The sequence below is a fragment of the Homo sapiens genome, chromosome 14 (assembly GCF_000001405.40).
Source record: "Homo sapiens chromosome 14, GRCh38.p14 Primary Assembly".
In the NCBI taxonomy this organism is placed as follows: Eukaryota; Metazoa; Chordata; class Mammalia; order Primates; family Hominidae; genus Homo; species Homo sapiens.
Genome location: NC_000014.9, coordinates 45,010,697 through 45,036,490, shown reverse-complemented (window position 1 = coordinate 45,036,490; position 25,794 = coordinate 45,010,697). Strand labels below are relative to the sequence as shown.

At 37.8% G+C, this 25,794-nt stretch overlaps 1 protein-coding gene across 9 annotated transcripts in view; it reads right to left on the bottom strand.

Annotated features, from left to right (window-relative positions):
- TOGARAM1 (TOG array regulator of axonemal microtubules 1) overlaps window positions 1–25,794 on the bottom strand; it is a 112,242-nt gene that overhangs the window by 37,941 nt on the left and 48,507 nt on the right. For 5 of the 9 annotated variants that reach the window (NM_001308120.2, XM_011536571.2, NM_015091.4 and 2 more), the window contains 5 exons: window positions 24,416–24,516; window positions 10,619–10,708; window positions 9,017–9,192; window positions 8,162–8,315; window positions 4,115–4,268 (listed from right to left, as the gene is read on the bottom strand). In NM_001308120.2, the coding sequence (NP_001295049.1) occupies window positions 4,115–4,268; window positions 8,162–8,315; window positions 9,017–9,192; window positions 10,619–10,708; window positions 24,416–24,516 (675 nt within the window). Of the gene's footprint in view, window positions 1–4,114; window positions 4,269–8,161; window positions 8,316–9,016; window positions 9,193–10,618; window positions 10,709–13,517; window positions 13,582–24,415; window positions 24,517–25,794 lie in introns of those variants that run through there. The other 4 variants (NR_131765.2, XM_017021098.2, XR_943403.3 and 1 more) reach the window with 4 other exon arrangements.

Sequence of the window (25,794 nt, the reverse complement as noted above, 5' to 3'; positions counted from 1 at the left end):
AGTGTTAGCATGGTATACATCTTTTTGAATCTCTACTTTTAACTTATTTGTATCTATATATTTAAACAGAATTTCTTATAGGTAGCATATAGTTGGGTCTTGCTTTTTAATCTAATCTCACTAGGGTGTTTAGTTCATCTACATTTAATGTGATTAGATGATTGGGTTTAAGTCTATCATCTTGCTGTTTGTTTTCTATTTGTCCCATCTTTTCTTTATAATTATTTTTATAGTTATATTTTATCTCCTTTGTTGCCTTGGTAAAGCAATACTGCCATGTCTTCCCTTTGGGCCTTTGTATCAAACTGTCAGACATTTTGCTTCTTTTAAAACTTTTTTTTTTTTTTTTTTTTTTTTTTTAGAGACAAGGTCTTGTTCTGTTGCTCAGGCTGCAGTGTAGTGGCACAATCACAGCTCACTGCAGCCTCGAACCCCTGGATTCAGGCAATCCTTCTGCCTCAGCCTCCTGATTAGCTGGGACTACAGAAACACATCACTGCATCCAGATTTTAAATTTTTTTTCTTTCTTTTTTTTTTTTTTTCTAGAGATGAGGTCTTGCTATATTGCAAAGGCTGGTCTTTAACTTCTGGGCTCAAGCAATCTTCCTGGCTTGGCCTCATAAAGTGCTGGGATTACAAGTGTGAGCCACCATGCCTGGCCCACTACTTTTATTTTTGAAAGATATTTTCATTGGATATAGAATTCTAGATTGACAGTTTGTTTTTCCTTTCAGTACTTTAAAGATCTCACTGAACTGTTTTTTGGTTTGCAGTGTATTTGATGAGTAGTCTGATCTTTGTTCTATATGTAATGTCTTGCCCCTAGCTATTTTTAAGATTTTCTCCATCCCTAATTTTAGGCCTTTTGATTATATCTCCTTTGAAATATTTCTTTTCATGTTTCTTGTGTTTGGTGTTCACTGAACTTCTTAGATCTTTGGGTTTATAGTTTTCATCCAATTTGAACAAATTTTGTCCATTTTTTTCTACAAATATTCTTTTCTGTCTCCTTCTCTGTCTGGTAACTCCAATTACACATAACTTGAAGTTGTCCCACAATTGACAGATTTTTTGGACTTTTTTTTCAGTCTTGTTTCTCTCATTGTTTCATTTTGATTTTTTTTTTTTACTTGAGACAGAGTCTCACCCTGTTGCCCAGGCTGGGTGCAGTGGTACGATCTCAGCTCACTGCAACCTCCGCCTCCCGGGTTTAAGCGATTCTCCTGCCCCAGTCGCCCCAGTAGCTGGGACTACAGGTGTGCATCACCACACCCAGCTAATTTTTGTATTTTTGGTAGACACAGGATTTTGCCTTATTGGTCAGGCTTCATTGTTTCATTTTGAATAGTTTCAATGGTTACGTCTTCAACTTCACTAATCTTTTCTTCTGGAATGTCTAACCTATTAATCTCATCCAGTGTATTTCCTATCTCAGACATTATAGCTTTCATCTGTAGATATTAGTTTTGGGTTTCTTATATATATTATATCTCTTTACTTGCTCAACCTTTCCTCCAGCCTCTTTAATGCATGCAGTAGTTACAGTTACAATGTCTTTGTCTACTAATTCTATCACCTGTGTCATTTTTGCATTGGTTTCACTTGGCTTTTTTTCTTCTCACTATTGGTTATATTTTCCTGCTTCTCTGCATGCCTGGTAATTTCACTTTAGCTATTTTTGTATTCCTATAAATATTCTTCAGCTTTGTTCTGGGATATAGTTATTTGAAAATGTATTTCAAATAAGGATCAAATGTTTGATCATCTTAGGCCTTGCTTTTAAACTTCATTGGGTAGGAACCAAACTAACATTCAGTCTATGGTTTATTTTACTACACTATGGAGCAAAACTCTGAGTATTCTACCCAATGCCCTGTGAATTATGAACTTTTCCACTCTGCTGGTGGGAACAGGAAGTATTATTAACATTGTATATGCTCCTGACATTGTTCCTTGTAACTTTTTTGAGTGGTTCTTGTTCTGGCCTCAGGAAATGTATTTACATGCATGCCCCGACCAGTTGTCTGCTAAACATTTGAGTAAAATCCTCTTATGATCTCTGGAGCTCTCTGTGGAGCTCTATCTGGCATTCTGTCCTGCAAAGTCTAGTCACCATGGCCTCCTCAAACTCTCAGCACCATGTCCATCTCTGATGCTATCTGCCTGTTTTCCCTCCCTTTAGCTGCAACCTGGAAACTCTCTCCAGAAAGCAAGCTGGGTAATTGTAGGGCTCACCTGGTTTGTTTCCTGTCTCTCAGAGATCAACATCTTTCCATAGCCTGGTGAACAGTGTCTTGAAAACTATTGTTTTTTTGTTGTTGTTTCTTTGTTTTTGAGATGGAGTCTCACTCTGTCACCCAGGCTGGAGTGCAGTGACATGATCTCGGTTCACTGCAACCTCTGCCTCCCAGGTTCAAGCGATTCTTGTGCCTCAGCCTCCCAAGTGGCTGGTACTACAGACGTGTGCCACCATGCACCAGCTGATTTTTTGCGTTTTTTAGTACAGACAAGGTTTTACCATGTTGGCCAGGCTGGTCTCGAACTCCTGACCTCAAGTCATCTGGCCTCCCAAAGTGCTGAGATTACAGGCATGAGCCACTGTGCCCACCCCTTGAAAACTATTGTTTCATATATTTTGTATAATTTTGTTAGATCTTTCACGTTATGAGGGCAAATACAGTCCTGTTAATCCATGTTGGCAGGAAGAAGTTCAGGATTTCTTTTCTGGATATGTTAAATTTAAGATGTCTAATGGCATCTAAGTAAAAGGGCCAAGTTAGGCTGTTGGATTACTTCTTTTTGAGTCTAGAGCTCAAAATGATACCAGGGATACAGATATACATTTATGAAAAATCAGAGTTTAGATGGAATTTAAAGCTGTGAGACTGAATGAAATAATTTAAGAAGGGATTGGCAAACTATGGCTCATGGGCCAAATGTGGCTCTATCAGATTTTTTTAATGAGTAAAGTTTTCATATAATGTTTTATAAGTAAAGTTTTATAGAAACACAGCTATGCCCATTTGTTTAGATACCGTTTTAAGGCTGCTTTTGTGCAACAACAGAGTTCAGTATTTGCAACAGAGGCATCTGCCCTGCAAAGTCTAAAACGCCTATTACCTGGATCTTTACAGAAAAAGATTGCCAGAAAGACTGCCCTTGAGCTACAAAATGAATGTAGAAAGAGAATGCCAGTGGATTAAATTCTGCAGAACTTCTATTTTTTTTTTTTTTTTTTGAGACAGAGTTTCACTCTGTTGCCCAGGCTGGAGTGCAGTTGCCCAATCTCAGCTCACTGCAACCTCCACCTCCCGGGTTCAAGCAATTCTCCTGCCTCAGTCTCCCAAGTAGCTGGGACTGCAGGTGCCTGCCACCATGCCTGGCTAATTTTTTTTGTATTTTTAGTAGAGATGGGGTTTCACTATGTTGGCCAGGCTAGTCTTGAACTCCTGACCTTGTGATCTGCCCACCTCACCCTCCCAAAGTGCTGGGATTACAGGCGTAAGCCACTGCACCCGGCCTGGAGGTTTTTAAAAAATAAGAGATATTATGGCATATTTTAAAGTTGATGAATATGCTCTAGAACACAGGCAAAACTGATGAAGAGGTATAAGATGGGTATAATGAGAGATAGTGAAGGAACAAGGGAGGAAATGGGACAAAGGCAGTAAGTGGATGCTCCCGCTGAAACACGTGGGATGCACATTGCCACTGTCTTTTGTCTCCCTTGAGTTACTGGCTGGGCTGGTTGGTTGGCTGCTATCACTACAATAGGAGCAGGTAAGTATTTCCAGGACTATTAATAATTATATTTCACAGAGAAATACTTTGAGAAATGGTGAAATTTGTATCTCATTATCAAAGGGTTTACATAATCCATTATAAAGCTAAATTATATGTTTATGGCATGTAAGCTATAATACAACTGGTAATAAAGTACTATTAGGGCCAGAGTTCAGCTACATTAATGAGCTGAAAAGACTCTGATGCCTAAGAACTAAATAATCATTTCTAAGATTATTTTAATAGAAAATGTGTTTCAAGATTTTTAATTAAATATTTACAGAAAGCTTTTGAACTCTGCTTAGTTTTAAGTTAAGGATGGTGAACTTACCAATCCTCATCAGCCAAAAGCCTCAGGGCTTCTGTCAGTGCTATTTCTGGTTTAGAGAATGGTCGTAGTTCTGACAGATCCATTATTTCTGGACTATGAGTGACAGAAGGCATCCTTTCTTTATACTGTGAAATAGCTCCAGTAGGTGTTTCACCTAAAACAAAATACATTAAATAAACTATGAGAGAACCTTTTTAAAAAAAATTTTTATCTTTTTGAGATGGAGTCTCGCTGTGTTGCCCAGGCTAGGGTGCAGTAGTACGATCTTAGCTCACTGCAACCTCCACTTCCCTGCTTCAAGCAATTCTCCTGCCTCAACCTCGCAAGTAGCTGGGACTACAGGTGCGCACCACAATGCCCAGCTAATTTTTGTATTTTTAGTAGAGACAGGGTTTCATCATGTTGGTCAAGCTGGTCTTGAACTTCTGACCTCAAGCAATCCATCCGCCTCAGCCTCCCAAAGTGATGGGATTACAGGCATGAGCCACCATGCCTGGCCAAGAGTCCTTCATACAAAGGGTACAAACATTATTCTGACTACAGTTGTGATGAATATTTATTATGGAAACTTAGTACTATTAGTTTAGTCTTGAGGAAAATTACAGTACCCAGAAACCAAAACTATTGAAAACTTTACTTTTTATATGCAAAACTATTGAAAACTTTACTTTTTATATGCAAAATTATTAACAAATTATATTTAATAAAACTACAAGTAATTTTTCAGTCATGAGTCATAACAAAGTCTAGCTTTATTTTAACAGCTAAAAGCAAAAGAAGTAGTACGATCCCATTTTGTAAAAATGTGGATATATACCTGTTTTATAACTGAGAAGTGAAGATGAAGGTTCATGGCATCTGTATGTAGAATTCTAGTTGATTTTCTCTATCGATATAGAATTAGTGGCCTATTACAAATTCTAAGACCATGTGTAGTAATAAGAATGATGTTTCCTCTATAATAAGACATTGACCAAGCATTTTCCAGATGTAAGGCACTGTACTATAAGCTGAGAAAACAAATCATCCTCTTTGAGTGCTCAGGATAATATCCTTGAGAGCACTATATAATGCGAGACACGTGCAGTGGAGATATTAAAAAGAAAAGGGTCAAATAGAATGGGCTTTTATAAGTAGGTAAAGATTTACTGGCTATTTTTCCATATTAAGAGATATTTTTAGAAAGGAAATATTAGTCACTAGAAACTATCATCAAAAATTGTTTATTAACCATGTTATCTGTGAGAAAATGTTACCTGAAATCACAAATATAAGAGATTTCACTTGATGTTGCATACTAATTACATATTCAGAGTTGGTCATTTAAAATCCAAAGGCAACAAGGTGTTAATGATATTAGCTAGCATTTATTAAATACTATACACCAGACCTTGGGATAAATGCTTTGCAAACTTTACTGCATTTAATTATCTCAACAAAGCTGAGGTAGGTATTCTAACTATCTTTATTTTGCAGCTGAGAAAATAATTGCATTTTACAGAGACTAAGAAATTTACTTAAGGTTCCATTGCTAATGAGTGGGAGAGGCAGGACTTAGATCTACGGCCACCATTACCTGTGATCTTATATAAAGAGGTATAAGACAGAATCTCTGCTTTCAAAAAATTCATCATATATCTAACAAAAAATGTAAAAAGGTAAAATATGATGCCTTAAATTACTATAGTGATAAATCAGTACCAGTTTTTGTTATGTGAGGAAGATGATATACCAATTAAAGAATATAATAGACCCCTTTCACTTTTTTTTGATGGTTCAGATGGACCCTCATTAGGCTTCATATCTAAGACTAACATGTATAAATAAAATCCTCCAGCTTTGGAATATCCCAATCCTGAAAGAATAGCAAATAAAAAAAAGCACTATTATCATTTATTATCTTCCCTAGTATTGTGCTAAGTCCATCATTCATACTATCTAATTTAATTCATTCAACAACCCTACATAGTAATTATTAGTAGTATATTACAGATGAAGAAACCAATGTGGAAGTTTTAAGAATTCCCTTAATATATCTAATCCATTCCCACGTTCATGAAACAATAACTCATTAGAAAGAGATATAGATAAACACCAAATTTTCAACCTTGAGATTATAACAATACAAAGTACTATCACCTATCTTTATTTTGTTTTCACCTGAAGAATGTTATTTTGAAAAAGGAGGTGTATAGAATATCAATTGAAAGTAGTGATGCTCAAATGAAGATTTTTTTTTTTAAAAACTTCCACTGTTGGCTGGGCATGGTGGCTCACACCTGTAATCCCAGCATTCTGGGAGGCTGAGGTGAGCAGATCACGAGGTCAGGAGTTCGAGACCAGCCTGTCCAACATGGTGAAACCCCGTCTTGACTAAAAATACAAAAATTAGCCTGACATGGTGGTGCACACCTGTAGTCCCAGCTACTCGGGAAGCTGAGGCAGAAGAATCGCTTGAACCGAAGAGGTGGAGGTTGCAGTGAGCCGAGATCGTGCCGCTGCACTCCAGCCTGGGCGACAGAGCAAAACTCCATCTCAAAAAAAAACCAACAAAAAACAACAAAACTTCCACTATGTTGCAGACTGATACTTTTATAAAGTACAATAAAAGTGTTGTGGCATTGTCAAATTGTTAAAATAGTTTCTAGAAGCTAAATATTGTCTGTATGTATGTTATCATAGATGAGTAATAAACAGTTCACACAGTCTATGAAACACACTTTGAGTAGCAGTGATCTAACTGATAGAAAGTTTCTTAACTGGAGGCATATCCAATTAGAATTTAGCTATTAAAAATTATTTCTGCTAATATGTTCATAACCATAAACAGAGCTAAACAACTACACTTTGAGCTGATCAAGATAATAATTGTGTAAGCATATTCTTATTTTCAAATAATATAAGGGTAACTTCAAAGCAGTACTCTCCTTATACTTCTCAGAAACCTAATCTTTAAAGCCTACATTGTAGGCAAAAATCACAAAATTAGTTGATCCATCAAGAATTAATACCCCAAATTTATGATTTATTACTATTTGTAATCTTGTACTTCTATTTCTACTCTTCACACTGGCTAAGTTAGGTAGGAAGTTTCGTGGGTTTTTCTCTCCCTGAATTTTATGACAATAACAAATAGTGAATTATCTGAGAATGCTAAGAGGCTTAAATTTCACAAACACCTACATTTAATGGGTTTTAGGGACATCTTCAGCCACAATTGTACAGGCTAACACCTCTCATCAGGCATACTCTCAACAGTGATTAGCTTTGAAAATACAGTTTTCTCCACTTGTTGCATTATAATGGAAATAAAAGCTAGGAAAAACCTCAGACATTAATTTAGGTTAAATCTTTTTTATTTTTACTTTCAAAAGAAGTATATTGTCTATTAAATTTAGAGTATTTTTGTAACCTTCTTGAGTATTTTGTTGCTATCTAGACTTCAGATACAACATAAATTTAATAGTGTTTATATTTCAGTTTATTTCTTAATAATATTTAACAAAACAGTAATTAAGCAATAATACTTAATGTTTATTATAGTTCACATGATTTTTCATTTCAACCTCTGATTTTTCCTAGTTGCTACTATACCTAACATGTATTCAATATTTTAAAAAACAACACCAGGAAACATAGAGCCTACTCTTGACCAAGCACAAAACATAGTAGGTACTCAAGGATAGACTGAATAAATGACAAATGCAATGGCCTTTTTGGATCATGATGTAATATAAACCAGAATCACCATCTCAGTTATCTACTATAAAATGGGATACCACTCCTCAGTAAAACAGGAATATTTCCAGGAGTATAGAAGAGATCCTTGAGATAATCTGGACCTTTGAGATAATCAAGATATTCACAGGGGCAGAAAACTGAGGGCTGCTTCCAGGTCACAAAGCTAATTAAAGGCAGAACTTGCAAATTTCGGTGTTATATAAGATATTTCATTCTTAGTCATATATTACCCTCAGTGAAACCTCATTTCACCAGCTTTAGACAATTACTAGAAAAAAAAAATACCAAAACTTAAATTCCACTTACTTTCAGATGCCATTTTCTCAGTTCCTGTATGTCTCATTCGTTCCCAGGAATTTTTTTCCTTCTTTTCACAATCTTTATTGTGAAACAGTTCTTTCTCTTCTTTTCTCTTTTGTCTCATCTTGTTATAAGTAGATTTAGAAATAGAAACTTTAGCCTGCATGAAAAAGTTGAAAGTCTGAAAATATTCAGGGACTTTGATATTTAAAATATCTTCATCTCAGATAACTAATTTGTGTCTGAGGATATTAGTCTGTCACTACTTAAGTGTGTCCTAGAAAACAGAATATACCCATACATATATATGTATATATAGTACATGTAAAATATAAAGTACATGGAGAATACAAAGTATATTACATACTTTATCCCCAGGATAAGAATGCCTTTATTAAGTGGGAAGGACGAATAATCTATATTTAAATGATTAAGAATCAAAATTTCTTTTTTTTTTTTTTCTTGAGACAGTTTCACTGTATTGCCCAGGCTGGAGTACAGTGGCGTAATCACGGTTTACTGCAGCTCAAGTCCGACCGTCCGAGCTCAAGTGATCCTCCTACCTCAGCCTCCCAAGTAGCTGGGCCCATAGGCACGCATGGCTGTAGCTACATTTTTGTATTTTTCCTAGAGAAAATAGGCTCTCTACTTTCTCGGGCTAATTTTTGTATTTTTCCTGGCTAATTTTTGTATTTTTCCTAGAGACAGGGCTTTGCCACATTGCCAAGGCTCAAAATTTCAACTGTACTAAGATTTTTTAAATTTTAATTGAAATACTTTCACCACCCCACATCTGATATACACAAAACAATGACATACTGTAAGCTTAAATTTATTCTAATAATTAGCAAATAACCTTACATCTTTTTCATTCTCAACATCAAGATATGATGAAATATTTTGCTGGACTGATCTTCCATAAATCCCTGATGGTGGTTCAATACTTTGTTTAATTGAAAATGTATCCCCATTTTCCACAGAAGATATCACTGATTGGCTGCAGGTTGCTGGTGCTGAACTTAAACTTCCAAATACGCCTGAAATCAACCAACCACCAAATAGTCATTAACTAATTATGTGATGGTACTCTAGACAACAAAGTTTAAGGCAAGGCTCTTGCCTTCAAGAATCAAACAACACAGTTAGTAAGAAAAACATGCTAAATAATTATAAAATATAAAAACAAATACCCTAATAGGGCATTAATATAAGAGGTGGCAGAATGCAGTTCATGATAATAAGTGAGAGCTGCATATTATAAGTGGTAAGCACACATAAAGAAAAGGTTGCTGTGAGCTGTTTTTTGTTTGTTTGTTTGTTTGTTTGTTTTGAGATAGTCTCTCTCTGTCACCCAGGCTGGAGTGCAATGGCACAATCTCGGCTCATTGCAACCTCCACCTCCCAAGCTGAAGCAATTTTCCCACCTCAGCCTCCTGCGTAGCTAGGACTACAGACGCACAGCACCAGGCCTGCCCAATTTTTTGTATTTTTTTTTTTTTTGGTAGAGATGGGGTTTTGCCATGTTGTCCAGGCTGGTCTTGAACTCTTGAGTTCAAGTGATCTGCCCGCCTGGGCCTCCCAAAGAATGGGATTACAGGAGTGAGCCACTGCACCTGGCAGAGCTGGGTGTTTAAGATGGTTTCAAGGAGCAAGGATTTGAGCTGGGATTTGAAGACAGGAAGGATCTGTATAAAGTAAAGAAGGAGAGGGGGAAATCTATGAGATGGGGATGTTTACATGCAGAGTTGAAAGTTTCTAAAGCATTTATGTGGAGCGAATAAATGAGCTTGGCCGGGCAAATAAAGGAATAACAGAAAATAAGTTTACAAGAGTAAGCTGTAGCCAATCTGAGGAGGGTTTTAAAATAACCTAATGAGACTATCAAGCAAAGAAGTTAGGACAAATTTTTCAAAACGTTTATTCTATTTCATTATATTGAACAAAAATAAGATGCATACCCTCAATGTATATTACCACATTCTAGTTTTCAATTAAAATAGAAAATAGCTTTAAAGGATACTTGCAATAATTTTGTTCAAGGTCCCTTAGCCCCCTTAAAATATATAACAGGAGTTTAATTTTCACTTGTCTAGATCTTGTATGGGAGATAATTATATTAATTTATATTGATTATTACGCTGATAAATAAGGGCTACTTGAATTTAAACTATGCTAAAACTAAGTAAGCTATCCTAAAATAGTCTTAGAAGTACCTAAACTGCAGCTGTCACATAATACATCTCTCTGAAAATTAATGACATGAATTTACTATAGTTTCATTAGAAGATAGAAATGTGAAGGTAAGTATTCACTTCTAATTATTTTAATGAAGATAATGTAATACATTTTTAAAAAGAAGTTCCACTCAACACTTGAATCACATTCTTTTCTATTCCTTATTGATAGGCTTTGCTTCTATATGATGAATACATATAATTAAGAAGCGAAATAACTTTGAAATACCTTTTCCAACAACTACTACTGAGTCTTCTGATAAAGCCTTTGTGGTTGTGAAGTCAAAACTGGAAATTTGCTGTGGATTTGATGATGACCCTGTAAATCCCCCAAAAAACAAAACAAATACTTAAACATATTTGCTTATTATGTAGTATCTTAGGATATTGTAACATAGTCTTTTAAAACTGAAAATTTATTTCATACAAAGAATTTACAATTTATTCACACGTTCATTAAGTCATTATAAATGTTTGTAACTGCAATACTAGAATGGACTAGGCACTTAAACCTTCCTTTCCTTTTTTTTTTTTTTTTGAGATGGAGTCTCGCTCTGTCGCCCAGGCTGGAATGCAGTGGTGTGATCTTGGCTCACTGCTACCTCCACCTCCTGGGTTCAAGCGATTCTCCTGCCTCAGCCTCCTGAGTAGCTGGGATTACAGGTACGCACCACCATGCTCAGCTCATTTTTGTATTTTTAGTAGAGATGGGGTTTCACCATTTTGGTCAGGCTGATCTCGACCTCCTGACCTCATGATCCGCCTGCCTCGGCCTCCCAAAGTGCTGGTATTACAGGCATGAGCCACCATGCCTGGCCCCTTCCTTTCCTTAAGGAGTTTACATGTCAGGGTGAGGTGTGAGAGGCATACAAGCGACTTATCACAGCATGATAATCAGGCAACAAAAGGGTCATCAAAAAGAAAATCCTCTGACATCAGAAAACAGATCAGGTCAATGTCACAGCAATCTGTGCTTTTCTAGGTTAACTTTTATCTTAGTTTCTGATTCTTTATTTACAATCCTACTAGACTGTAAGTTCCATGGGGATAGGATCTATGTCTAGTTTTGATGATTATTCTTTCCCAGAGCCTAATATAGTGTTTGGCACATACCAGGTATTCCATAAATATATGTTAGATGAATGTATCAAGGCAAAAAAAGAAAAGAGAAATATGTATTGCTTTAGGTTTTATGAAAGAAAAGCAGTTAAACAGTGATAAAGTCAATCAAATAATTGATTTTTAAAAATTAAGCAGCAGATAGATTGTTTTGTCAACTGCTAATGCTAATAGTAACCTGGCTTTATGTGAAAATGGCAAAGATTAAAGAAAGAAATCCATGTAAGTGATCATTTTTCATGTATTTCTTCTTTAGTATGCAATCAAAATTAGTACACACATCAACTAACAGAAACACGGGTTAGCCCAAAAACGTGTTCTGTGACAAAGAGAAAAAAATCTCAGTAAATGGAATAATTTGCTCAACAGTCCACATAAACATAAAATCTATACATAAACTATCAAGAGACGAATGATCAGACAAATCTCATCAAAAAAATATAAAAGACATGTTATCTCCAATGAGTTTAACTTCATTTATAAGAGAAGCTGTCATTAATCATTTTTAATATATTTTTATGTTTTACACTATATTTTTCTTAAAGAAATGTTGAAAGAAATATTGTTCATTAAGTCTCAATTCTAAAATATATAGAAAATATGTTTAAAGGCTTCTTCACACACAAATATCATTATATATTTTTTCTTTGTTATAATACTTCCATCTAATTCAAATATCAAAAGAGTAAATAGTAAATCATGGAATCTAGTTTGCTAATACTTCAAGCACCCTCCACTTTCTCAAGTTATTAATTGAGACAGCAGACATGATATGGACCATTACAACTAGGAAAGGGCACCTAGGTCCTTCACATACAAACTAAAAAAACTAGTATTAAAAGTGCAAGAGCACAGTGCATGAAGAGAAAAATAGTAAGAGGTAATATAAAAATAAATTAAGCTGATGCAAGATTATTAAGGGTCTTAAAAGTTATGCTATGGGGCCAGGCATGGTGGCTCACGCCTGTAATCCCAGCACTTTGTGGGGCCGAGGTGGGCAGATCACCTGAGGTCAGGAGTTCGAGACCAGCCTGGCCAACATGGTGAAACCCCTTCTCTACCAAAAATACAAAAATTAGCCATGCATGGTGGCGCATGCCTGTATTCTCAGCTACTCATGAGGCTGAGGCAGGAGAATCGCTTGAACCTGAAAGGCAGAGGTTGCAGTCAGCCGAGATTGCACCACTGCACTACAGCCTGGGCGACAAGAGTGAGACTCTGTCTTAAAAAAAAAAAAGTTATGCCATGGAGTAGGAACTCTGTTCTGTAGAAAACAGAGAATCACTCATGTTAAGCTTGCCAACGGGGCAAGACTTTTCTTTATATGTCACAGAAAAAATGGGAATAGCTCTAGGGGTCCTTACACAGGTCTGAGGGACGAGCTTGCAACCCCTGGCATACCTGAGTAAGGAAATTGATGTAGTGGCAAAGGGTTGGCCTCATTGTTTACGGGTAGTGGTGGCAGTAGCAGTCTTAGTATCTGAAGCATTAAAATAATACAGGGAAGAGATCTTACTGTGTGGACATCTCATGATGTGAACAGCATTCTCACTGCTAAAGGAGACTTGTGACTGTCAGACAACAATATCAGGTATCAATATCAATATCAGATATCAATATAAATATCAGGCTCTATTACTTGAAGGGCCAGTGCTGCGACTGCACACTTGTGCAACTCAACCCAGCCACATTTCTTCCAGACAATGAAGAAAATATAGAACATAACTGTCAACAAGTAATTGCTCAAACCTATGCCGCTCGAGGGGACCTTCTAGAGGTTCCCTTGACTGATCCCAGCCTCAACTTGTATACTGATGGAAGTTCCTTTGTAGAAAAAGGACTTCGAAAAGTGGGGTATGCAGTGGTCAGTGATAATGGAATACTTGAAAGTAATTCCTTCACTCCAGGAACTAGTGCTCAGCTGGCAGAACTAATAGCCCTCAGTCAGGCACTAGAATTAGGAGAAGGAAAAGGGTAAATATATATATACAGACTCTAAGTATGCTTACCTAGTCCTCCATGCCCACGCAGCAATATGGAGAGAAAGGGAATTCCTAACTTCCGAGGGAACACCTATCAAACATCAGGAAGTCATTAGGAGATTATTATTGGTGGTACAGAAACCTAAAGAAGTGGCAGTCTTACACTGCCGGGGTCATCAGAAAGGAAAGGAAAGGGAAATAGAAGGGAATCACCAAGCAGATATTGAAGCAAAAAGAGCTGCAAGACAGGACCCTCCATTAGAAATGCTTACAGAAGGACCCTGAGTATGGGGTAATCCCCTCCAGGAAACCAAGCCACAGTACTCAGAAGAAGAAATGAATGGGGAACCTCATGAGGACATAGTTTCCTCCCCTCAGGATGGCTAGCCACCGAAGAAGGAAAAATACTTTTGCCTGCAGCTAACCAATGGAAATTACTTAAAACCCTTCACCAAACTTTCACTTAGGCATTGATAGCACCTATCAGATGGCCAAATCATTATTTACTGGACCAGGCCTTTTCAAAACTATCAAGCAGATAGTCAGGGCCTGTGAAGTGTGCCAAAGAAATAATCCCCTGCCTTATCGCCAAGCTCCTTCAGGAGAACAAAGAACAGGCCATTACCTAGGAGAAGACTGGCAACTAGATTTTACCCACATACCCAAATCTCAGGGATTTCAGTATCTACTAGTTTCGGTAGATACTTTCACTGGTTGGGCAGAGGCCTTCCTCTGCAGGACAGAAAAGGCCCAAGAGGTAATAAAGGCACTAGTTCATGAAATAATTCCCAGATGCGGACTTCCCCGAGGCTTACAGAGTGACAATGGCCCTGCTTTCAAGGCAACAGTAACCCAGGGACTATCGCAGATGTCAGGTATACAATATCACTTACACTGCACCTGGAGGCCACAATCCTCGGGGAAGGTCGAGAAAATGAACGAAACACTCAAACAACATCTAAAAAAGCTAACCCAGGAAACCCACCTCACATGGCCTGCTCTGTTGCCTATAGCCTTACTAAGAATCCGAAACTCTCCCCAAAAAGCAGGACTTAGCCCATACGAAATGCTGTATGGACGGCCCTTCCTAACCAATGACCTTGTGCTTGACCGAGAGACGGCCAACTTAGTTGCAGATATCACCTCCTTAGCCAAATATCAGCAAGTTCTTAAAACATGACAAGAAGCCTGTCCCTGAGAAGAGGGAAAGGAATTATTCCACCCTGGTGACATGGTATTAGTCAAGCCCCTTCCTTCTGATTCCCCATCCCTAGATACATCCTGGGAAGGACGCTACCCGGTCATTTTATCTACCCCAACCGCGGTTAAAGTGGCTGGAGTGGAGTCTAGGATACATCACACTCGAGTCAAACCCTGGCTACTGCCAAAAGAACCCGGAAATCCAGGAGACAACGCTAGCTATTCCTGTGAACCTCTAGAGGATCTGGGCCTGCTCTTCAAGCAACAACCGTGAGGAAAGTAACTAAAATCGTAAATCCCCATGGCCCTCCCTTATCATATTTTTCTCTTTACTGTTCTCTTACCCCCTTTCATTCTCACTGCACCCCCTCCATGCCACTGTATGACCAGTAGCTCCCGTTACCAAGAGTTTCTATGGAGAATGCGGCTTCCCGGAAATATTGATGCCCCATCATATAGGAGTTTATCTAAGGGAAACCCCACCTTCACTGCCCCATACCCATATGCCCCGCAACTGCTGTAACTCTGCCACTCTTTGCATGCATGCAAATACTCATTATTGGACAGGGAAAATTTTTAATCCTAGTTGTCCGGGAGGACTTGGAGCCACTGTCTGTTGGACTTACTTCACCCATACCAGTATGTCTGATGGGCGTGGAGTTCAAGATCAGGCAGGAGAAAAACACATAAAGGAAGTAATCTCCCAACTGACCCGGGTACATAGCACCCCTAACCCCTACAAAGGACTAGATCTCTCAAAACTACATGAAACCCTCCATACCCATACTCACCAGGTAAGCCTATTTAATACCACCCTCACTGGGCTCCATGAGGCCTTGGCCCAAAACCCTACTAACTGTTGAATGTGCCTCCCCCTGCACTACAGGCCACATATTTCAATCCCTGTACCTGAACAATGGAACAACTTCAGCACAGAAATAAACACCACTTCCATTTTAGTAGGACCTCTTGTTTCCAATCTGGAAATAACCCATACCTCAAACCTCACCCGTGTAAAATTTAGCAATACTATAGACACAACCAACTCCCAGTGCATCAGATGGGTAACTCCTCCCACACAAATAGTCTGCCTACCCTCAGGAATATTTTTTGTCTGTGGTACCTCAGCCTATCACTGTTTGAATGGCTTTTCGGAATCTATGTGCTTCCTCTCATTCTTAGTGCACCCTATGACCATCTACACTGAACAAGATTTATACAATTATGTCGTACCTAAGCCCCGCAACAAAAGAGTACCCATTCTTCCTTTTGTTATCCGAGCAGGAATGCTAGGCAGATTAGGTACTGGCATGGGCAGTATCACAACCTCTACTCAGTTCTACTACAAACTATCTCAAGAACTAAATGGTGACATGGAACGGGTTGCCGACTCCCTGGTCACCTTGCAAGATCAACTTAACTCCCTAGCAGCAGTAGTACTTCAAAATCGAAGAGCTTTAGACTTGCTAACTGCAGAAAGAGGGGGAACCTGTTTATTTTTAGGGGAAGAATGCTGTTATTATGTTAATCAATCTGGAATCATCACTGAGAAAGTTAAAGAAATTCGAGATGGAATACAACGCAGAGCATAGGAGCTTCAAAGCACCAGACCCTGGGGCCTCCTCAGCCAGTGGATGCCCTGGATTCTCCCCTTCTTAGGACCTCTAGCAGCTATAATATTGTTACTCTTCTTTGGACCCTGTATCTTTAACCTCCTTATTAAATTGGTCTCTTCCAGAATCGAAGCGGTAAAGCTACAAATGGCTCTTCAAATGGAGCCCCAGATGCAGTCCATGACTAAAATCTACCACAGACCCCTGGACCAGCCTGCTAGCCCATGCTCTGATGTTGATGACACTGAAGTCACCCCTCCCGAGGAAATCTCAACTGCATGACCCCTACTATGCCCCAATTCAGCAGGAAGCAGTTAGAGCAGTCATCAGCCAACCACCCCAACAGCACTTGAGTTTTCCTGTTGAGAGGGCGGACTGAGAGAAAGGACTAGCTGGATTTCCTAGGCCGACAGCGAGTCCCTAAGCCTAGCTGGGAAGGTGACCGCATCCACCTTTAAACACGGGGCTTGCAACTTAGCTCACACTCGACCAATCAGGTAGTAAAGAGAGCTCACTAAAATGCTAATTAGGCAAAAACAGGAGGTAAAGAAATAGCCAATCATCTATCGCCTGAGAGCACAGCAGGAGGGGACATTGATTGGGATATAAACCCAGGCATTCGAGCTGGCAACGGCTACCCTCCTTGGGTCCCCTCCCTTTGTATGGGAGCTCTATTTTCACTCTATTAAATCTTGCAACTGCAAAAAAAAGAAAACAGAGAACCACTCAAGGTTTTTGTTTTTTTTTTCCAGGTGTTAGTTTTATGTGTCAATCAAGGTTCTGAGTATGGAAGAGATAATGACTGTATTTTAGAAAGACAATTCTGGAAGACTATGCAGCCTGGATTTAAGAGGAATGAAAATAAGAGGGAAGCCTTACCAGAAAGATTTGTAATTACCCAGGGAAGTGGTAAAGAGGGCCCAAATTACAACTATGGCAGCAGATACATTAAGTTAGACTGAGAGTAAATGATAGGATAAGCCACCTCCTAAACTTGGAAGGTAAAGAGACAAAAATGACTGTAAAGCTTTAAGCCTCCATAACTGGGAAAATGGTAATGCTACCAATAAAAATGGACATCAAAGGAAGAGAAATGGGTATAGGAAGAAAGCTAAATTTGGTTTTCAACGTGTTTGTTCTTGTTGCCAAGACAGATTTAGTAAATACCTGGTTCAGATTTGGATGTGCGAATGTGATGTAATTTTATGGAGTAGAATTAACTTCTGGCTAAAAGATGTAAATATGTTTATGATTCTGCCATCTAAAAAAGGAAGCCACTAGCAGTGAATGAACATATTCAACAGTTATTTCAAAGCAATTAAAAGAAATAAAAAATTACATGAGGGTATGAGTTACTTTTAAGAAGAAAAGCATTTTTTGTCCTTGATTTTCTTTACATGGGAAATAAAACATGTAAATAAATATGGAAAAATCGTATTCTCTTTTGTAAAACAATAACAACTTATTGCTGCCAAACAGAACAGTACTAAACTATATTATAGACTAAATGTTAAGAAATTTACCAAAAAAAGTTTCTAATCAAGCTCCATCTTACTCAATTTGAGTTATGTCCACAAAAAATATTCATGTCCTAAAATGCCTGATTGTGTGCTCATACATAATTTAAGATAATCAGAAATGGCAGGCTAGGTGTGGTGGCTCACACCTGTAGTCCCAGCACTTTGGGATGCCAAGGCAGGTAGATCACTTGAGGCCAGGAGTTCGAGACTAGTCTAGCCAACATGGTGAAACCCTGTCTCTACTGAAAAATACAAAATAAATTACCCAGGCGTGGTGGCATGCACCTGTAATCCCAGTTACTAGGGTGGCTGAGGCACGAGAATCACTTGAACCCATGAGGTGGAGGTTGCAGTGAGCCAAGACTGCACCACTGCTCTCTAGCCTGAGCAACAGACGAGACTGTTTCAAAAAAGAAAAAAAAAAATCAGAAATAACATAGTACAGAAGTTGACCTTATAATGACCACAGCTGCTATTCACATGAAAATAACAGCTTTTTATTTACTTACATATTTTAGATTATAGGTGCATCTTCTAATTATTAGGTTGGTGCAAAAGGAGTATGCAGTTAAAAATGGCAAAAGCCACAATTACTTTTGCACCAACCTAACATTTATTTAAATATTTATACCCTTCAAAACCACTTTTTTTTATTGTAAGGGAAATTTTTAAAATGCAGCTGTAATAGGATCTCTTAAGCAATGGACAGAGTAGTCACAGAGGTACTACTTGCTACTAAGTTTAAAAAAACCATTCTTAACAATGGTTCTTTTTTTCCTTTTTTGTTTGAGACAGAGTTTCACTTGTCACCCAGGAGTGCAGTGGCGCCATCTCGGCTCACTGCAACCTCCGCCTCCCGGGTTCAAGCAGTTCTCCTGCCTCAGCCTCCTGAGCAGCTGGGATTACAGGTGCCTGCCACCACGCTCAGCTAAGTTTTTGTATTTTTAGTAGAGATGGGGTTTCGCCATGTTGGGCAGGCTGGTCTCGAACTCCTGACCTCAGGTGATCCACCCACCTCAGCCTCCCAAAGTGCTGGGATTACAGGCGTGAGCCACCACGCCTGGCCAAGAATGGTTAATGATAACAGCAAAGCTTTCTCAGGTTCTACCACAGGAAAATTATATTCCTGTTGCCCCAACTTTACTCCAGGGCTACAACCTAACTGGGCATCTGGGAGTTATTAATCCACATGATCTTCCATTCCATTTTAGTGGCAAAATGTCTTCTAAAAACGTGTGTGTGTGTGTGTGTGTGTGTGTGTTTTGTGTGCATGTATCTGGTGCATTTCCTGGGGGCAGAAGTCAGCAGAAATTCCCTAGTGTTTAACCTCATGAGCAGTTGCTTCCTTGCAGTGGCTCCTCAGGGAAGCCCAAAAATCATATACAAAGCCTTGAGTTCTCCTATTTGGCAAAATTATTTGAGCAACAACAGATCAGCAGCAGAGTAAGATGAAAAACCTCAAAACTGAGAATTCTCACTAATTTTTCTTTATCAGTATGCTTAGGGAGGATTCTGATTTAGATATTCAACCTTAAAAATTAACTTGTCATGAAATTTACTAACCTTGTGTAGGCTTACAATGTCTTGGGTATTGTTCATTTTGTATTTCTAACGCGCTAGATGAAATATCAAGTGACCTATCGTCTTCAAAATCACCACATCCAAACCTATGGTTCATATGTTGACCAATTATGCTTACACTGGATGTTGTAAACCCTATAAAATATCTGAATGATTCAAGCAATATTATACATAAGGTATATATCTCCCCTCTAAACCTATCTCAACTTCTAACCTTTTAAAAAGATAAGTAACATAATATTAGGAACTATAACATTATAGTACTTTTTGAAGTTTTATCCTATTTTAAATTATTTAATACTTTTCCCTTTCCTTGTTCTTAGCAGGTAAGAACATTTATTATATGCTATACTACAACATTTCATAAAATAGGCTTTAAAATTACAATGAGGCCAGGTATGGTGAATCGCATCTGTAATCCCAGCATTTCAGGAGGCCGAGGCAGGAGAATTCTTTGGGCCCAGGAGTTCAAGGCCAGCCTGGGCAACAAAGCAAGCCCCCACCTCCATCAAAAATTAAAATTAAAAAATTCACTGGGTGTGGGCCGGGTGTGGTGGCTCACTCCTGTAATTGAGCACGGTGTTTCACCATGTTGGTCAGGTTGGTCTGGAACTCCTGACCTCGTGATCCGCCCGCCTTGGCCTCCCAAAGTGCCAGGATTACAGGCGTGAGCCACTGCACCCGGCTTCTTTTTTCTTTTAAGACAGAGTCTCCCCAGGCTGGAGTGCAGTGGCATGATCCCAGATCACTGCAACCTCTGCCTCTCAGGCTCAAGCAATCTTCCCACTTCTGCCTCCCTAGTAGCTGGGACCAAAGGTGCACACCACCACCTCCAGCTTATTTTTGTACTTTTTGTAGACATACAGTCTTGCCATGTTGCTCAGGCTGGTCTCAAACCCCTGAGCTCAAGTGATCTGCCTACCTCAGCCTACTAAAGTCCTGGGATTACAGGTGTCAGCCACTGTGCCTGGCCTGACAAGTATTTTTTTAAATTGACACCTTTAACTTTACACTAAAAAAAAAAAATTTTTTTTAATCCAGAATTTACAAACTGTGACCTAAGAGATAGCTATTTCCCCATTTCTCTCTTTTCTCCTATTCCCATGAAAAACGAAAAAACTGAAAACTGAGAATACTCAGTAATTTTTCTTTATTGGTATGCTTAGGGAAGATTCTGATTTAGAGATATTAAATCTTAAAAGTTAACTCACCATGAAATTTAACCTTCTGTACTGGCTTCACTGATGAGGCAGTAAACTACATAGGGATAAAGAGCTCAGTATCTGGAATCATGCTTCCTGGCTTTAAATTACAGCACTGCCACTCAAACTGCTGAGAAGACCTGGACAAGTCACTCAACCTTATTTGTAAAATAGAGATAATAGTACCTCTTCTACATCTGTTGTTAGGATTAAATGAAGAAAATGCATATAAAGGGCTCCGCACAGTGCCTAACACATTTTAAGTACCCAAATGTTATTATATCCGTAATTTAAAAAAAAAAAAAAGCAAAACCCTAATGTAGGTCTCCTTCTAATGAATAACAAAAATTTTAATTTACATTTGAATGTTTAAACTCATCACTCTTTATGAATACTCTGCAGCTATTACAACCATAAAACATATACTAAATGCAAAATCTAGGCATTATATATTTGAGTCATTGTCCATTTTTATATATACTTCCAATGTAAACTATTAAGCAATAATGATGTGTGTATATATGTATAAATATATTTATTTATTTATTTATTTATTTATTTATTTATTTATTTATTTTTTGAGATAGGCTCTTGCTCTGTCATCCAGGCTGGAATACATTGGCACTATCTTGGCTCTCTGCAGCTTCAACCTCCTGGGCTCTCCTGATTCTCCTGCCTCAGCCTCCTGAATAGCTGGGACTACAGGCGCACGCCACCATTCTCCGCTACTTTTTAATTTTTTTGATAGAGATTAGGTTTTGCTATGTTGCTCAGGCTGGTCCCAAACTCTCGGGCTCAAGTGATTCACCTGCCTCAGCCTCCCAAAGTGCTGGGATTAGAGGTGTGAGCCACTGTGCCCAGTGAAATAGACTTTTAAAAAATAATGTTGTATTTGAATAAAAACAGGAAGGTAGGAAGAGGAGGTAGCTGGGGCAACAAGCTAGAAAGGACTGTAGAATAAAGGGCACTAAGTAAGTTCACAGAGAAAAGTTTCAAGAATATCCAATATTAAATCATAGAGAATTTGTAGAAAACACAGATTATCTTTATAAATTCTGTCTTGATAGTTAATTCATAAAATAAGACTCATAAACATACTGGCTTTGGGTGGAAATGTTTTCTATTAATAGGCAACACTAATCTAATATACTAGAAGAAGTTTACTGTAATATCATTCAGAAAATTTAGCACAATTTGCTTTAATAGGTAGTGGCAGAACATAGGTGGAATTTTAAAATAATTGTTATTTTTGTGTTTATCATCCAATAGTCTTTATTCTGAGCGTTATCATTTTTATGTTTTACCAATTAAGCCACAATAAATTTGTAGGAATCACTTGTTTACTGAAAACAAAGCAAACCCAAATATATAAAATCCGAAACATTAGCAACTTATTTTGAGAAAAGGTTAAATTTAATATAATGAATTCAATAATAGTAGTATTTCTAAAACTTGATCCTAGAAATACCTAATTTACTTATTAAAAATACAGATTTCTAACCAGAAAGATGAATTCATGAGGCATGAGATGAGGCCCCAGAATTAACAGATGTTACATGCACTCAAGGGTGATTCCTAAAATTAGGCAACTTTGTTGGGAGGCCGAGGTGGGTGGATCATGACCATCCTGGCTAACATGGTGAAATCCTGTCTCTACTAAAAACACAAAAAATTAGCCAGGCGTAGTGGCAGGCGCCTGTAGTCCCAGCTACCTGGGAGGCTGAGGAAGGAAAATGGCATGAACCTGGGAGGCGGAGCTTGCAGTGAGCTGAGATTACGCCACTGCACTCTAGCCTCAGCGACAGAGCGAGACTCTTGTCTCAAAAAAAAAAAAAAAAAAAGATTACGCAACTTTGGAAAACACTAAATATTGCATATATAAGTATGTATTATACTATTATGAGATCACTCTGCTAAAACTTAAATGACTCCCAAGGTCACACGACTAGGGTCACAAGGGAACTCAAATCCAGGTTTTTAAAATCTATTATTTTCCATTTCCAAAGATACTCTTCCAAAAGTGGGTTCCATTTTTACAAAGTAGATACAATCTAGTAATCAGATGTCTCTTCAATTTTACAGAAATACTTGAAAAATTATAGATTAGGATGATCAGCCTGAAAAAGGATTAAGGATAAGTTTATGTATTTCTTTGGGTCACTCTCTCCCCTTAGAGGACAAATACATATTGAGTGCCTACTATGCACTAGTTGCTTTATATATGTCATGAACTTAGATTTTCACTACCCTTCTCAAGGTTTATGTTGTCAGATGAGGGAACTAAGTTCCAAAGCAGTTAAGTAAGTTGTGTAATGTATGAATACTATTATTAAACATCAAACTGGGGTGTCAGCTCATCTTTTGGACTCCAAAGCACTTATATACTGTCTTTGTATGCCTAGAAGTGCAGCTATCTCTTTGTTAACACTAGTTTTATGCAAGGCAGTATACTAAACACACCTGGTTAAGTCACACATTCCCGATTATGATAAGCCTTGATAGGTAATCAGTGGGAAATAATCTTTGGGGATCAAGAATCTGAGAGTTAAAGAAAAGTAAAGCAATTGTAGTATCATTATAAAAGGTGTCAGTGCAAGATGTAATGGTATAACAAAAGAGGTAATAATCTTGTTTGTGAATTAAGGAAGGCTTCCCAGAGAAAGCAACTGAGCTCTTTTCACAGCTAAATAGGGTGTGGTATGGATTCTAGATTTCATCCAGAAAAAACAGTATGTGCATTTGCAAAGAGATAGGAAATGGTACTGATGGTGGTCTGATTTAACTGGATACAAACAGGGAAAGTACAAGATACAAAGAGGGCAGTGAAAAATGAGGCTGGAGAGGTAGGCTGGGACCAGATCATGAAAGCATGTCCAGAATGAATTCAGGCTGGCCAGTATAGTCAGATTTGCACTGTGGGGAACAGTTTCAAAGTAAGTGAGATTGAAGCAGGGAGAAAATTTAGGCGGCTAAGTAGGTAATAAATGAGGAAAAGTGTGAACTAAAGCCATGGTAGTGGGGATTACAAAGAGGGGTTGAGATTAAGACACATTTAAGAGCAAGAAATTTAAAATCTTAGCAAATAATCAAATACATATACAGTTTTTTAGGAAGGTGATTATAATATAAAGCAGCTTAAAGTTGTTAGGACTTTTACATTAGATCATGTGAAACTAAACATCATATACCAATTTGTTACAGTTTATTCACAATTCAACGTAGTTTTACTAATCATAATGAAGAATCACATGCAGTTCTCACCCTAAATAGATCATAGTGCAAATCTTTTTCTAATTGACTACTAATTACTAAATCTATTTTCTGAGAAGTGATGTTATAAAACTAAAGACTTACAGGTTAGTTCACAAAAATTCTTAACACAAGATACACATGAATTTAACTACTATTAACAGTTAATATTGTTTTTAAAGAAAATTGTCTTTCGGGATGTCCAGTGGTTCCCAAACTATGCTGCACATTAGAATCATCTGAGGAGTTTTCAAAATTCTGACAGCCAACACCAGCTAAATAACACTCCACACCAACTACATAAAAAATCTAGGTGTAGGAGCCAGCCATAGGTATGCCAATTGAGCTTTAAAAGAGATTGATGATTCAGGTAAATAAATATTTTTTTCTTCCAAAACAATATCATATTCCTGTCAAAAGGACCTTTTAAGGAGTAAAAAAATGATTAGTCTTAACCAGTATGCACAACAACATGAAATCTGAAATGCACTTGCTATCATTTTTTACATCATTTGAAAATCATATTTTATAAATTATTTTTATAAACAGACATAGAATACCTGCACTGGGGCTTTGTTCAGCAATATGAGAAATTTTTTTCTTTGCAGAAGAAAGTCTTGTTGGACAAGGTTTTGACCCAAATGTTGGAAATATGTCTGACCTGCAATGAAACAAAGTAATTTCAATAAACATTAAGATTTAGTGCTGTTCAATACTCACATCACATATTGTCTATTCTCCTTATTAACTCACAGACCTTTTAGATAATAAGGGAGCAATAAGTATGACACTTGAAAAACTATGGCTAACAGTGTGTGTGTATACACACACACACACACACACACACACATATATATTTTGCTATTCTTAGTTCACCTTTTGGACTACCAACCTTTTTAACATATGGCCAATTCTTAATTACTCAAGACAGGATTGCCACAGAAAATGACTCTGACTTATACTGTATAATCCCTAAGGAAAAAAAAAAATGATCCAAGAATCCATTCTAAAACCAAATCAAGGCCAAGTGTGGTGACTCATGCCTGTAATCCTAGCATTTTGGGAGGCCAAGACAGGAGGATCACTTGAGCCCAGGAAGTTCAAGGCCAGCCTGGGCACCATCGCAAAACTCCATCTCTACAAAAAAACTAAAAAATTAACCAGGCATGGCGGTGCACACCTGTAGTCCCAGCTACTACAGAGGCCGAGGTGGGAGGATCACCTGAGCCCAGGAGGCAGGGGTTGCAGTGAGCTGAGATTGAACTACTACACTCCAGCCTGAGTGACACAGTGAGACCTTGTCTCAAAAAAATGAAAATAAATATAACAAGTCAAATCATTCTTAATTATCTAACTACTACCTATCCTTATATATGATAACACAAAAATACAGACTTGGCTATATTATAAGTAAGAGATCAGCAATGAGTAAGTTTGGTAAATGCCACTTTCTGCTTAGACTATTCTTTCCTGTACTTTCCTGACATTATAAATACCTATAGGCCTTTTTTCATTAAGAAAGCCAACTGAAGAATGTTAAATCTGAGCTTAAGGGAACTGTTTTAAATCAGTAAGTGTTACAATGTCAGTAAGTTAGTAATGAATATTAAAAAGAATAGATTTTACAAAGAAGTACAATTCTCAGTAAATGGAGAGAAATATATTTGTCAGTGGACCTAGTGAGAAATCAGTGTTAAATATTTTGAAAGAGCAATTTCTCTATAACAGATTATTATGAATCTACATTTATATTAAGTGTAGTTGACTTGGATGAAAGAAGAAATTTCAGTCTCTAGGAGGGTGGTTTTCAACAATTTTTCCTCCCCAACCCACCTAAGGACAAAATCTTTAAATCAGGTAGTAGTAGTGGCTTTCTTTGGCCATGAATCTTAAGGCAGTATGCAAGCTGGATAAGAATAATTGTTCTAAAGCCACTAAT